At 46.3% G+C, this 15,707-nt stretch overlaps 1 protein-coding gene across 17 annotated transcripts in view; it reads left to right on the top strand.

Moving 5' to 3' along the window:
* Nucleotides 1-15,707, top strand: part of LARP4B (La ribonucleoprotein 4B) — a 181,428-nt gene that overhangs the window by 156,884 nt on the left and 8,837 nt on the right. For all 17 annotated transcript variants that reach the window (XM_047424897.1, XM_047424894.1, XM_047424893.1 and 14 more), the window contains 7 exons: nt 481-591; nt 1,724-1,777; nt 1,864-2,073; nt 5,588-5,694; nt 6,142-6,393; nt 10,613-10,658; nt 13,569-13,733. In XM_047424897.1, the coding sequence (XP_047280853.1) occupies nt 481-591; nt 1,724-1,777; nt 1,864-2,073; nt 5,588-5,694; nt 6,142-6,393; nt 10,613-10,658; nt 13,569-13,733 (945 nt within the window). The remainder of the gene's footprint in view (nt 1-480; nt 592-1,723; nt 1,778-1,863; nt 2,074-5,587; nt 5,695-6,141; nt 6,394-10,612; nt 10,659-13,568; nt 13,734-15,707) is intronic.

Raw genomic sequence — 15,707 nt, 5'->3', positions numbered from 1 at the left:
TCAGGGATCACACTCGTGTTCACGCTGGGGTTCAGGGCCTGAAACTGTTCTTCATGTATTTTGTCTTTGGTTTTTTAATTGAGTCATCTGGGAGAGTAAATCTAGTCCATCATGGCCAGAAGCAAAAGTCCAAGCAAATTTTTTTTCTTAAATTGCCTTTAAAAAAAAAAAAAAAAAAAAAGTTGTGCAGTTATCAGCCCAGAACATGATATGATAGTTTTCACATTAATCTAGCTTAATGGTATCTTGAGAGTAGGGGAAGCTGTAAGTTGTGTGACTGCTTTTCTCTATGGCATTGTGATTCTGATTCTGGAAGCCCTGCTGAACCCTCATCCTTTTTGGAAGAGAGATTTACTAGGCATCATGGTACGTTTGTTTAAGGATAGTTCCTTAAGAGAATGCATTTGTTAAAAAAATTTTTGGTGAGGACAAAAACTGACATTGTTGAGAATTAATTTCTAACATCTCTATTTCCTGTAGGAAGTAGAAGCACTATTTAAAGGAGATAATTTACCAAAATTTATAAACTGTGAATTTGCATATAATGATAATTGGTTTATTACATTTGAAACAGAAGCTGATGCACAACAGGTAAGTTCTTTCCACCATCACCCTATGAATTGCATAGTTTACCAGTTTTTACTATTAGTGCATGTTGGGACTAAACTTGGGCATTGAGATTACTTGTGATGGTAAGTTTGAATATAATCTGCAGAGGAAATCAAGTTGTAGAAACTTAAATATTTGAGTGTATTTGTATGGACAATTTTTATAGCAATATAAAAAGCATGTGATTTTACTTTCTAAGGACAACAAGCTAAGCAACCTAGGAAAATCAGTTTTGTTCTTCTATCTGGGCAGAGAAGTTTTACTATTTGCAAAGTGTTTGGGGGGAAATTTGAACCTAATCTTCATCTCCCAGCAGACTTCATTGTATTTTGGAAGATGCTTTTAATGGTATTGAGAAGTAAGCTCTGTAAGGAGGCGTGAGGAGTTAGTAGTTTTCCTGCTTTTAAGGGAAGCATCTTATTTGTGAGGAAACTAACGCACATATTATAAAGTGTTAAATGGTATAAACAGTATGTGGGGTTCAGAAAAGAAAACACAGAAACCTGAAAGATGGGTTTTAATTGGATGGAGGGGGAAAAGGGGAACGGAAGATAGAGTAACCATTTTTGTGGAGTGGAGTGTGAGCTCTGCCAGCCCGTGTGGCGAATGTGGTCGGATGATATTGAATCAGGTGCAGGGCCTTCACAGTTTTATAGGGGTTTAATGTAGAATTAACATGGAGAAGAACAAGGAGATATATCAAGAATGACTTTTGGATGTTATGATCCTAATCCTTTTCCTTCCTGTCTGGTATTTCCTGAACTGCATTCTCCTAATCTGAAATTGGGATGAATACTAGGAACTCAGTATTCATCATTTTCCACCAGGTCAAGGTTCTTAGCCAGTGGTCTTTGGGAGACTTCTATGGCATCTGTTAATACTTACAAAATTGTGTACAAATCTTGTTTGTGAGAATTTGGGGTACACGTTCCATAGCTCTTATGAGGTTATTTTAAGGGATCTGTGACCCAGGGAGTGTCAAGAATCATTATTCTAGGTTCTGTTCACCATAATTTAATTATATATTTCCCTATTTGAGCTATTGAGTGAACTATTGGTGCCTCTTATTCATAAGGTTAATCGAATGGAATTTTGTACTTAATTTTGCCCTTAGGCTTACAAATACCTTCGAGAAGAAGTCAAAACTTTTCAAGGAAAACCAATTAAGGTAAGCAAGACCATTGGTTATACTTTGTTTATTTGCAAATTGATGTTCTTAAGTATTCTAATAGAAACTTACATATTTTCAAACAGGCACGGATAAAAGCAAAGGCAATAGCTATAAACACATTTTTGCCAAAGAATGGATTTAGACCCCTGGACGTGAGCCTGTATGCCCAGCAGCGCTACGCGACGTCGTTCTACTTCCCTCCCATGTACAGCCCCCAGCAGCAGTTCCCCCTGTACAGCCTGATCACTCCCCAGACGTGGTCAGCAACGCACAGCTATCTTGACCCACCCTTGGTACGTCATTTCTTTACTAGGAATTTATGTTGTAGACACTATGCTAGATAATTTGAAGGATTAAAATCCTCATCTAATAGGAAGCCAGATATGTGTGCAGTCTGACATACTAAAACAGACCTTCAAGTTATGTGGGGGATTTTAAATGTAGCTGAGAACAGAGCTTATGCATAAAGAACTTTGGATTGCTGTGAGCACAATCCTTGCACAGCCCGTCTCCCCTCTTGTCATGCAGCTCTTAGCAAGACGCAGAGGGCGATAAGTGCTGTAGTGTACCTGGCGTCCCCTACACAGAGTACAATGCAAGGGGGATTAACTGAGGAGGAAGAGGTGTTTAATAGGCTTCTGACAGCAAGGCCAAGGAGAAGGCCTGCTGTTTTACCAGCCTTATTTTACTCACTTCTCACCAGCATTAGAGTTGGTCGACAGGATTAATTTTTATGGATTTTGGCCTTTGTTAAGGCCTATGGTTGGAATTCATAAGTCTGTACTGGATCTAGACATTGTCTCTTTGTGTGCTGCTATAGATGCTTGAAAGATCAAGTGCATTCTGGGTGGGAATTAGCATGAGTTTGGTGGCATTGGATGCACGAGAGTCAGCAATACACGGATGAGCATGTCCTTGAAGCTGAAGTCTAGTTGAGAAGTGAAGATGGGTTCATGGCCTAGAGGTTTGCATGAGGTAGCAATGCAGGTTAGTTGGAATTGGAGAGATTGAAGGGTAGCATACATAGAAGGTTATGGTCAGAAAGCAGAAATTGAGTTAGTAACTTTGAGAAGAGTTCATGTCCAGGGTTTCGCTGTGGACTAAGGGAAAGACTGAGTGGTCCTCAGGGTCGGATGGCTGGGAGCCAGGCACCCTGATGTGCAGGGATGTCACCGCTGACAGGCAGAAAAGGAGGGTAGGTGCAGAGCAGAGAGAACTTGAGAAAACAAGTGCCTGTATACACGGAAAGTAAAGATACGGGTCCATGAAACAACTCAGGCTGGAAAAGTCAAACATGCCAAGGAGACACGTGTACAGAATGCCAGAACACTGACAGGTCTTATCAGGGATTGTGTTGTCATCTAGGTTGAGCTTTTCAGGTTAAGTATGAGTTTTTCAGAAGGAATCAAAGAGAAGTTTCATGAACAGAAGATGGTCGTAGATTCATGGGTGTCTGAGCTGAAGCGTACACCGGGTGGCAGGGAGTTGGGGAACGAGCTGGCAGTTTCCAGGCCTAACTGCGCAGGTGCTTAGCTGTCCTGAGGCATGTGGGCTTTGGCCTAGTGCTTGTGGGAAGGTGTCTGAGGTTTCTAAGCGGAGAAATGAAACCATACTCCATTTAGAAAATAGCTCCTAAGGCCGTGTGAAGGGCAGGTGGGGACAGGGAGAGATTTTCAGAGGACCCCAATTCCCCCTGAGTCTGGAACCACCGCAGTGTAAGAACCTTTGGTAAAGTTACTTCTGTCTCTTTTGAGTAAGTCCTGATGGTAAGAAAAGTTTCTGGCTTTTTGAAGTAGCACATTCTATAAAAGTGTACCCATAGCTGAATACTTCGTTTTCCCAAAAGCATATCATGAGAGAACCTCAGAGAGACTTGAGTCCGTAGGCTCTGGGTGTTGAAGAATCATCGCTGCACGTGGCTTGCCATGCTAGTCCTTTCAGTTCTTCCTGCAGCAGTTGCTTCTTCCGTTTCTTTAATCATGGTTGACCCTCTCGGGGATCCTTGGGGTTCTGGGTCAGCTTATGGCCTTGACTTATGTTGTATGTTCAGGTTGCGGTGTGTGCCAGACAGCTGGTCCTGCTCTGAGTCTGTGATACTGGGGCTCTCCATCGCAGCCTTTTACTTGTGCTAAAACATGTGCGTCCTTTGTTCTGCAGCTGAAGAGATTGTGCCTATTAATCCCCAACAAGTAATAATAGGAACGCATTAATAATCAACTTTATTTTTTATATATGACCAATTTTATTTTTTATCTTGAGCAAAATTACTGGAATATCAGGGCTCTGTCTGTAAAATGACTTGCTGGAAATGATTAGTCCTCATTGCTCTGCCCATGATTTACAGCCTCAGATCCAGGTCTGCATTCATGGCTCTTCAAGTGTGATGTATTTTCTTTTTCTTTGAGACAGAGTCTCTCTCTGTCGCCCAGGCTGGAGTGCAGTGGCCGGATCTTGGCTCACTGCAAGCTCCGCCTCCCGGGTTCACGCCATTCTCCTGCCTCAGCCTCTTGAGTAGCTGGGACTACAGGCGCCCGCCACTACGCCCGGATAATTTTTTTGTATTTTTAGTAGAGACGGGGTTTCACCATGTTAGCCAGGATGGTCTTGATCTCCTGACCTTTTGATCCGCCCCCCCTTGGCCTCCCAAAGTGCTGGGGTTATAGGCATGAGCCACTGCGCCCGGCCATGTGTGATGTATTTTAAAAAGTCCGATTCTTACAGAGTGAAGAGTTTCTCAAGTAGCAAATTGAAGATTCTAACTTCCCTTTTGTATGATTTTATTTTAGTCCTAAGCTATAATATTCTTTTTCTGTTATATCTTCCAGTTAGCTCTAATTAAGGAGAATTACTTGCTTTTTTCCTTTCCTTTCTCTCTTCCTCCAAACAAGGAGGGCTCTATGCGTATCTCTGTCACTTTAGTGACATTGAGGGTGTGGACTGGAAGGCCCTCAGGAACTAAGTGCCCTGTGTCAGGAGCATAAGGAGCGAGATATCAGTGATGCAGAACGTATTGGAAACCATGGGTCCAGAAGCCAGAGAATTAGAATGAATGGTCTTGAGTTTTGTTTGTTTGTTTGTTTTTAAAGGAACTGTTTTAACAATAAGTTTTATCTTATTTTTGTATGTGTCTAGATTTTAAAAATAGTTGGCCGATACTTAAAATTCTATGCTCAATATTTTTAACTACTTAAGATCTTTTAGGGGTTCTGTGACCCTTTCTAATTTCTTCTGAATCTTATGTTAGTATATTTGCATGCCATACTTACCTTGTGACTTGGGGAATAATGATGATCTGAAAATACCCTGATCTGCAGAGCAGGACTTGTGTCGGGGTAAAGGTAAAGGCCCTGTCAGGCTGTGGTTGGATGAAGCCGAGTGAGCAGCAGTGGGTGTGCAGGTGCTCCTAAGATTGAGAATGTTGATGAGTTGTATTAAAGCCATCAGGAATCAAGAACTGTTGACTTCCTGCCAGTGATGGAGGTCGTATCAGACTGACATGCTAAAGGTTACAACACTTGTTGGAGCCCATGCGCTCTTGACCACGTCTTTCCTCTCAGTGCCTGCTTCCGCATGTGTCAGTTCTCCTCGCTGGATTGTTGTAAGGATTGGCTGAAAGGATGCACAAAAGCTCCAGCCTACTTCTAAACAGCACCCATTGGTGATAAAATTGTAAAATACATGTCTCAGCATGGGTCATGACTCTGACAACATCAAGAAATGCCCTCAGTTTCCACAGATTTGTTGGTATTAATGAAATTGAAGTCTGTTTTATGGTTTATTTACTTGTCTGTTTTCAAATGAATCTAGGTAACTCCATTTCCAAATACTGGATTTATAAATGGGTTTACGTCTCCAGCGTTCAAGCCTGCGGCGTCTCCTCTGACTTCTCTCAGACAGTATCCTCCTCGAAGCAGGCAAGTTCCGGGGCGGTCTTAGCAGTTTTGGTCTTTACGCTACTGCCCTTCCGGAGTTGGGATGAGAGAGCTTTGATCACTAGTCCTGCTCCTCGCAGACAGAGCCACCTGAAGCACACAGCTGCATTCTGTAAAGACTAAGCACTACAATCTGGCATGGGTGCCCGCCTCAGATTCTCTGAGAGGAGGCTTTGGGGCAACTTGTACACATCAGGTGTGCCTGATTTTAATTTGGGCCTGGACTGAAAAACAGCTAAGCAGAATTGTGGCACATTGTTAATAGATTTGCATTATCCTATATGTTAGGAGTTAACCATTCCAAATCCTATTTTTATACTTTATTAAACAGAGAGCAGATTTCAGCTTAGCTATTCCATGTCAGTATGCATGTTATGTAATGCCTTGATCATTTTATAACTCAACACATAAAACCATTTTTATTTACAGGAATCCTAGTAAATCTCATCTGCGGCATGCGATTCCTAGTGCAGAGAGGGGACCTGGGTTATTAGAAAGTCCTTCAATATTTAACTTCACTGCAGATCGATTAATTAATGGTGTCCGGAGTCCACAAACAAGGCAAGCAGGTCAAACTAGAACACGGATTCAAAACCCTTCAGCATATGCCAAGAGAGAGGCTGGGCCTGGGCGTGTGGAGCCAGGCAGTCTCGAATCCTCTCCTGGTTTAGGGAGGGGAAGGTGAGTTGTTGAGCAGTTACTGTGTAACATCATAAACTAATATTTTAAAAATTATTTAATTTAGATATGTTTTGTAATTGTCTTTAAATATGTCACAGAAAATCTAACTGAAGGCTATAAACATAAGGGTTTTATATAATTGCTAAGACTTAAATGGCTTCATCTTTTTTGGAATATGAAATGGTTCAGTGAGAACTGTAGTTGTTTTAGATCATTATTTGTAGAAACACTGGAGCTCAATAGCCATAGACTCCATCCCATGTGCCTGCAGTCTCCTCTTGGCAGCACCCCTGGCTCACCAGGCCCCTCTGCAAGGGCGGTGTCCAGGCTCTGCCCCATGGCTGCTGGCCTGGCGCCCTCCAGCTGGGTGTGCACCAGGCACTGCAGGTGGAGCCTGGAGCGGGTAACCAGGCAGATCAGCATTGCAGTCTCATCTCATTGGAGGGTTGAGACTAGCCAGGACGGGTCTTAGCTGTGCTTCCTGCCCACCATTTTTGGTTTTGTTTAACATTTTTTTGGCATCAATCCTGTAGTAGGTTTTTGTTTGTTTGTTTGTTTGTTTGTTTGTTTTTAAGACAGGGTCTCACTCCGTTGCCCAGGCTGGGGTACGTTGGCATGATCATGGCTCACTACAGCCTTGAACTTCTGGGTTCAAGCAATCCTATTGCCTCAGCATGCTGAGAAGCTAGGACTTCAAATGCACACCACCATGCCTGGCTAGTTTTTAAATATTTTGTAGAGACAGGATCTCGCTGTGTTGCCCAGGCTGGTCTTGAACTCCTGGCCTAGAGCCATCCTCCTGCCTCAGCCTTCCATAGTGGTGGGATTACAGGCATGAGCCACCGCACCTGCCCATTGTTGATAAGGCCAGTTGATCTTCTCAGTCCTTGCCTTGGTAAGGACCGTCAGGATTTTCCTCTCATAAGTGACAAACAAGTGACTCAAATACCTGAGCTTTTTCAGGGTGTTCTATATACAATGTGTACAGCACCATCCCTGACGTGCAAGCTCCTCTTCCTGCCTGCCACAGTGCACACCCTCTGTGCAGTGAGAATTCAACATGAAGAGGCATCAGAAGCATCTCATTCCTGCCCATAATGATTCAATGAGCACATAGGAGTTCCTGCAGGGATTGTGCAGTGGCATTGGAAGGCACCATGGTCTGGGAGAGCTGGCACTGGCCTGTGTCTCACAGGAAACATGGCATCAGGTTGGCTCAACAGGCCTTGGAGATGCAAAGCCAAAAGGGGCCCACCGTGTCATGGAGAGTCAGTGACTTCAGGGAGCAGTTGCTAGCCCTGGGTCTCAGTTTGGGGTTCTTAAGACCCAGACGCTTGGAGGGAGGAGGGTTGCAGAGCTGGGGCTCAGACTTGGGACAGAGCCCTACTCATCAAGGCCATGTGGCTCCCTCTGAGGGGCATCAATTGTGGGCACGGTGTGGAAGGAGGCAGACTAGATGGACAAGGCCCCCCGGCCTCAGCCTCCTGTGCTCTTCAGTGTGCCTTGTTCATACGAGCGTCACAAGGAGTTTCCTGGCAAATGAAAGTGGGGCTTGTTGAATTCCAGCTACCTCACAAAATGTATACAGGTGGCTTTGAAGCTGAGAGTCCAAAGCTTGCTGACGAATGTGGTCTACCCAGGATACCCTTCAACAATACTTGAACTTCCAAATGCAACTGTAACAAGTTTATGCTTTTGCCTGACAGATGCAGATCTTGCACCAATGGAGACCCTCTCTCTCCCCACCAAGGGAGGACAACTGTCCTCCCACCTGAGACCTGAGCACTGCGGCAGGGAGTGGTTTAGGAAGCGCACACCAGCATGGGCACGGTGGGCAGGGAGTGGTTTAGGAAGCACGCACCAGTGGTTTAGGGAGTGGTTTAGGAAGTGGTGGGCAGGGAAAGCGCATGCAACTCCTGCAGCCTGTTTCTGCGATGGGTTCTGAAGCCAGAGCTGACCTTCGTAACCTCCTCCTTCCCTCTGTCTTGAGAAAGAGCTTGTGCTGTTTTGCAGGGAGGTGTGCCAGGCCTTGCTTGCCCTGAGAACCTGATCCACAGCAGCCATGCCTCCACCTCCCCTTTTTGGGAGGGTTTGTTTTGTTTCCATTAACTTTCTCTATTGGACCAAAGTGCTAAGATGTCCTGGAGAACCCCTTACCAGAGTCCAGACACATGTCCCTACCCTTGCATGGCGGCCATGGCAGGGCACGGCCCAGCTGGGTTGAATGGCATGAGGAGCCCCAGGCGCCAGGTGGCTGCCTTGGTGGAGCTACTGTTAGGATCAGCTGGGGGAAGCACACCTCTTCAGGGTCTCAGGCCTTCACACCACTGCATTCAGAGTCGCGGGTGTCACAGTGATGTTTCCTCTATGGTGCTGGGACCACCCTGGGTCCCTTGCTACCCCTTGTGAGCTGTAACCCACCATGGCCCTGTCACTGAGCCTTGGCTCAGCCAACCTGCTCTCTGCATGATGGGCACTGACAGCTGACAGTGTTCTACGGCTGCAGGTGGGCTTCTGGGTCTGACACGGGTTACGTGGAGCCCAGTGAGGGTGTGGGGGAGTGTTGGCTGGGCCCACTGATGGTGACTGGGATAGGACCCCATGGCAGGCAGGTCTGTGTCCTGGACACCGCTGTGTTCCAAGGGATGGGTGCCCCTGCGTCCCAGCCGGTAGTGACGAGCAGGCTGCCCTTGGCGGAGGGATGCCCTGTGCCGAGCCCTGCGGGATGTCCTCTGCCCATGTGGCTGCTGTCCCTCTGTCCAGCGCTCAGGGCAATGCCTCTGGGCAAGCAGGTGCTGACACCATCCGTCTCACACCCCTCCCAGGTCCCCAGGGCCAGTTGAGTCCTGTCCCACTGAAGACTCTCATCTGGTTGCATCCCTAGCTCTGCTCATGGGTCATTGTAGCCCCACCTTTCCACTACTTCTGAATCCTGGCGCAGCGGAGTAGGAGTTCAGCTCCCTGGGTTTTGGGAGCACCCCCTATTAGGGAGTGGTGCTGAGCCAGGTGTGTACTGGGGTGGCTGTCCATAATGCAGGCCCAGGACCCTCTCTCCCTGTGAGGCCACAGGCATGGATCCAGGACAAGGAGCACCAAGCCCCCTGTTCCTACAGGAGGTTGGGTTGTCAGGACTCATGCCCCACCTGTGGCTCAGTACTCATCCATGTCCCATAGTCTGGCCTGCAGTCTCCGCAAGGCACCAGTAGAAAGCCAGGAGCTATTTCCAGAAAGTTTTCTGTAGGAGATAATAGGGATTTGCTCCAGAATCCTAAAGGTTTGTGCCGTCCTTGCCCTAGAGGGTTTGGCCCAAGGTTCCACAGAGTTTTCCACTGTTAGGCCATCTTAGGCAAGACTAGTTTTTGGTTTTCTGTAAATGAAGGAATTAGTCAAGACTATTTCTTAACTCCTTTCCAGGTTATGTAATACAAGGCCCTTGGGGGAGTCTTTGCATTCCATTAAATTATCCATTGAGATGAATGTGTGTCATGTGACTTGTTAGACCACATAACCTGTCCAGGGAAATGGGAATGTCTTGGCCATCCTAGAGTCCTAGGTCTCCACGTGAAGTCACCACTTAATCAGTGTCTGTCCTGTGGTTATCAACTGCGTGTGTGGCGTGGCCTTGCTGCCTGCATGGGGAGGTCCAGAATGTGGTTCCTGAGGCTGGGAGGCGAGGGCAGGAAGTCTTTGGGGCACAGAGGTCCTTGTGTGGTTTTCGTGGGAAGGGGTCAGCCATTGAGGCAGTAGTGGAGGAAGCTGAGAGGGCAGAGGAAGGGATGGGACGCGGTATTTGGGGTCTTTTAAATCTGATGTAAAGCAAATCTGCGCCGGGAAAATTCTCACCACCATTTTAAACAACTCATTGATGGAGCTCAGTCTCAGATTTTATGTGTCTTGTCATTTCCACCCAGTGGATGTTCAGTACTCATGTCTTAACAGACATCCCAAGGAGGCACCAGGGAGTTGGTTTCAGTCAGTGTTTTCTTCTGTTCTTTATCACTTGCCTGGACTTCCACGTTAGTCCCTTGCTGTCAACTTTGTGTTGTTCTGCTTACGCTTCCTGAAGTTGGGATTTTAGAATTGAAAGTCATCTTTGAAAGGTTTCAAAGTGATAAAGACTGAATTGATGTGTACTTTGATTATGTGAGTGCAAACGTGCTCAATAATAAATTCTCCAAGTGGGAAAAAAATAACAGTCTTTCACTTTCCACTCCTCTAGGAAGAATTCCTTTGGCTACCGGAAGAAAAGGGAGGAGAAGTTTACAGTGAGTACATAAAGCATATACCTCTTCACAAGACATTTAAATCTAATTTATACCAAACCTGAGATTTAATTAAATGGATTAAGGTTAAGGCACAAGAATGAGCATTTCAAAAGACTTGTAACGTGAAATCCACTAAGTAATAACTGACACCCTGGCTGGCCTAGGAGGAAGCAACTGTAGAGGTTTTGGAAATAGCGATGTGCTGCACAGGACTCCACAGTGCACAGGCGTGTTGTGCTGTGGCACAGGCATGGCCAGGAACTTGCTGTCGCATGCACTGCAGCCTACACACGGGTGTGCACGTGAGCTCTTCTGTGTGGCAGCTGTACCGGAGAGTCTGAAATGACTGGAGCCATTCATTTCAATGAGCAGAGTAAGCATCTTCCACGGAGCAATTTGTTTGTCGGTGTTTTTCCTTCAAAACTTTCGAATACTCTCCCACTGTGTAGAAAGCATTATCTCCTTCTGCTATAACTTACTGGCAGGACAGACCCAAACATAAGTGATAGGTTTTTGTGGCGGTAAGTACATGAGACATGGTGATTTTTGCTTGGGTTGATTAATCAGAGTTTCTCCTGTGGAAAATGTTTGTGCTGGTCTTTAGTGGAGGATGGCATGGACTTCTCCACAGCCAGTGGTGGGATGGCACGGTGGCAGTTAGCAGTACCCACAAAGATGGGAGGGATGGCACGGTGGCAGTTAGCAGTACCCATGAACCAGTGGTGGGACGGTACGGTGGCAGTGTTAGCAGTACCCACGAAGATGGGAGGGATGGCACGGTGGCAGTTAGCAGTACCCACGAACCAGTAGTGGGACAGCAAGGTGGCAGTTAGCAGTACCCACGAAGATGGGAGGGATGCCTCCATGGGCTTGCAGATGTGGAATTCCATACAAGGAATGCTGGAGGAGACCTGGACAAATCCTGGTCCAGCCCCTCAAGCCATCACACAGGTGCTTTCTCATCACAAAAGATACAATCTCTGTTTAGAACTCAGAAATTGTGCCTTTCATGAGGTCGGCTTAGTCTAGTTTTTGTTTAACTAGTTGGTAAGGCAGTTTTTACCAGTTAATTGCAATTGGAATTAGTGAATTCCTGTGACCATTTGGACTAACAAGTCAAGCATCTAAACACAGGGCACTGTTGTGCCTGCCGTGATGTTTTCCCACAGCCATTTCTCTTCCGTTCTGTTTTGCCTTGCATTCCTGATGCATGTGTTCATGACTGTGACCTGCTTTGAAGCTTCGGCTTGTGGCCCAGTGTTGTATTGATTACAGAGCATACGCCCATCGTCTTATGTACGTGCTCTCAGGACCTCAGAAAGGTCCAGACGCTTTTTCTGTAAAAGTGTGTGAGCCTCGGGCCTAACCACGCCCATGGGACCTGAGCAGTACTCAGACCTCACCCAGAGGTGCTCAGATCCTAGAGGATTTTAACACTGCCTTCCAAGTCAAGTCCCATCTGTGGGTGATGTCATTTTGTAACTCCCACATCTGGGCAGTTGTTGCCTGCCTCTTTTGCTTCTACAAGTTGAGATTTAAATACATTTTTGGGGAAGGCTGTCTCTCTAATAATGCTTATCTTCTGAAAAGCTGTGTTCACCTCAGAAACGTGCAGATGTTTAAAACCGCTTTGCCATCATAGTGGCCATGTGTAACTTAGAGCTTTGCAGGATCATTTTGAGCATCATATTCACAATACTAGGTTACAGAGAGCATACAACAGCCAGCTGCTCAGTAGGTAACAAGCTTACTGCCAAGGACACCTAACTGGGAAAAGCTAAGCTAAAATTAGGCACCTGTCGCGTGGAGCAGAGAAGCAAGCGGAATGCCCAACACAGACTGGACTGGGGTTTGTGTCAGCCTGAATTCATTTTCATCCTTTGACCTGCTTTCACTTCTGACATATTTTCTCTAGAATCTACTGATGCAGGGATTCACCTTCCTGTGTATAAACTTTGGAGAAACATTGGCACTTTCCAGTTAGGTGGATCCCATGAGATCTTTGCTTCCTGGTCAGAGTAGCTCATTGTTTCAGCTAAAAATAGTTGTATTCTTTAGTTAATATAAATTCATTTCTAAACTAAATGCAAACTCATTTCCCCTTTCTGTGCCATGTGTCCTTCAGCCGAGGAACTGCGTACTCGCAAAATGACTGCCAGCTTGTTAAAGCGGGTTGATAGATCATTTTCCAATAAAAGGTATTACTGCCTTTCTTCTGAGATTTGGGCTTACAAAGTACACTCACTTCTTATTATACTGAGTTTGCTTTCTTGGAAGTCAAAGAATCTGATTAGAATTTGTTGTCAAATCCTGTGTTTTTAATTATTTAAAAATATAAACTTTCATTAAGTTTATTTTCAGAGAATTCGAGCCCCCTTCCCTTTTGTTAAACCACTTTTTTGATGCACGTGTGTAAAATTTCTTACACAGGTTGTGGAGAGAGTGTCATATTTTGTTTTTTACAATTATCTTGTGACTCACATTAAAAACTATGCTGTAGTAACACAACACTTGTCTGAAAGTGAGAAAGTTTAATGTCTAGACTCAGGCTGCCCTGCTTTCCATCTGGTGGGCTGGAGTCACTCCAGAGTGTCTCCCTTGCCTTCAGCTGCCCCTGCTGTTCGTGAGTGCTGGCAGCCATGGGTGGATAGCTCTTTGGATGTCACCTTAGCCTCACTGTGTCCTTTGTGACACATCTCTTGGGCAGCAGCATCCTTGAGATTTCAGTTTTACAGCTCTGCTCTAGATGGTTGAAGTTGCTTGGGAGAACCTTCAATTGAGTGAGGAAGCCCTTGTCTGGGTTGAATGATCTGCTTGTTTCTACAGATATTTTCCAGACAGGTGTGGAAACGAGAAGCTGCTTGGCCTTCTCTCTCCATACCGTGACCCTGGGGTGTCATTCTGTTGCAGAGCAGCCAGACACAGTCTCCAACGCCACCAAAGCCTCCGTCGCCAAGCTTCGAGCTGGGGCTGTCCAGCTTCCCTCCATTACCTGGAGCTGCCGGCAATTTGAAGACAGAGGACTTGTTTGAAAACAGGCTATCTAGCTTGATAATAGGACCATCCAAAGAAAGGGTAAGGGATATATTGCATGTCTAATAGTTGCCAACAGTGTCTAGGTACGGGTTCCGTGTCAGGCGCTTTGCTGAGCTCTTTATACATGTTTGTTTTTAATACTCAAGAGAGGCTTGGAGGCCACGTGATTGCAGAGGTCACACAGATTTGGAGTAAGGCCAGCCTTGAACCCAGGGCTGGGCCTTCTCCTTAACATTGCTGTCTGATGAAGTCAGAGGTAGAAACGTGTGCCATGATGTGCCGTACACACCCTTTCTCTCACCCAGAAACTTAGATTGCATTGTCATTGTTGTAGTTCAGACCTGCCTTTATTTTATAAAACAACAGAATGAAATGGAAACATCTGAATTGTATTGGAAATGATTAAAATGTGTAGTAATCTACATGAGACAAGGAGCAAGAAGCCTGGGAGAACCTCACTGTAGTGTCGGTAGCTTCTGGTGAGGTCTGGGCTGCCCCACGAGGTGCCGCCTCCACTGCAGTGAATATCATCCCAGGAGTCGTCCCGAGCTGCAGATGACAGAGGACACTCAGCCCAGCACTCTGGCCTCTAATGTGCTTAGGAGGTGGAAGTGGGACTTGGCCGGCTGCCACACCTGGCGTTGAAGGCTCTGGGAAGTACAGAGGAAGTTTTCTGCCCAGTTACCTACTGTGCATAGGAAGAGCCCAGGAAGAACCTGCTGAGCACTCCAGGTTGCCGGTGTCCCCTGTGCCAGGGGCCCTTTCCCCAGCTGTGCCCCAGAGTTACCACGTGTCTGTTCCACGCCACATGACCGTGCTGCTTGCTACCCCACCCAGGTCTGCAGAGTCAGTGTCTCTTCCACCCTGGGCTTTAGGGAAGGCCCCGCAGTAGATAGAACCATTCCTCACTTCCTAGGGCAGAATTTAAGGTGGATTTTGATGCAGTATCTTTACAATGAAAGCCAGGTGACGTGTCTAGTCCTTTTCATATTGGTAGATGGTCATGCTCCTGTTTGGAGATTGAGTACATTCCAGGATTGTCACATTAGCCTTAAATTTCCACACCGTCATTTCTAAGGTATTAGTGCCTTGAGAAGAAATGCAGTTTAAAGATCATGAATTCTAGTTTTCCAACTGTAGCCTACTCCCGTTGGTATTGAGTGGAGGAGAAGAGGCAGGTCTCCAACCCTGCTTCAGAAACAGCAGCTCCTGCTGTGCCCAGTTTGAGTCTTGTGTAAGGTTTCTCTTGAAGAAAGAATTGCTTCTTTGAAAAGCCTGACCCTGAGCCTTATGCCACCACCCAGGTGTAGTGGGCTCCATTGCTGCTTCTTGGGAGCTTCTTGAGTCAACAGCGTGGCCCTTGGGTTTCAAAGTGGGGTGGAGGCTCCAGAAATGATGGGGTTCAGCCCTTCCCCTGTTGACATGGAGCTCGTGATGGTCACTCTGACTTGCTTCATGACCTGCAGTTGTGGATCTGCATTTCATTTGCATTGGGACTGCACATATCCTGAATTAATTAGTTAATTTGTTTATTTAAGATAGAGTCTTGCTCTGTCACCCAGGCTGGAATGCAGTGGCACGACCTTGGCTCCCTGCAACCTCCGCCTCCTGGGTTCCAGTGATTCTCCTGCCTCGGCCTACCGAGTAGCTGGGACTACAGGCATGCACCACCACACCCGGCTAATTTTTGTATTATTAGTAGAGATGGGGTTTCACCATGTTGGCCAGGCTGGCCTCAAACCCCTGACCTCAGGTGATTCGTCCACCTCAGCCTCCCAAAATGCGGGGATTATAGGCGTGAGCCACCGTGCCCGGCCCCTACCCTGAATTTAAAATGAGCTTTTACAAAAGGAGTCCTTTGCCCTCTTGTTTCCACCAAGCTGGATTCCTGCTGGTCGAGCGCAGGAATTGCAGCGGATTCTGGTTCTCCAGCTGGAAGGGCTCTAGGTCTGTCGTCAGCCTTCATCTAAGGGCAGAAGTGTAAAGAGCACCTGCCCTCCTGCCTTTTTTAAG

Source organism: Homo sapiens, chromosome 10 (assembly GCF_000001405.40).
Source record: "Homo sapiens chromosome 10, GRCh38.p14 Primary Assembly".
NCBI classification, from domain to species: Eukaryota; Metazoa; Chordata; class Mammalia; order Primates; family Hominidae; genus Homo; species Homo sapiens.
The sequence above is the reverse complement of the archived record's forward strand: the minus strand, read 5'-3'. Positions and strand labels throughout refer to the sequence as shown.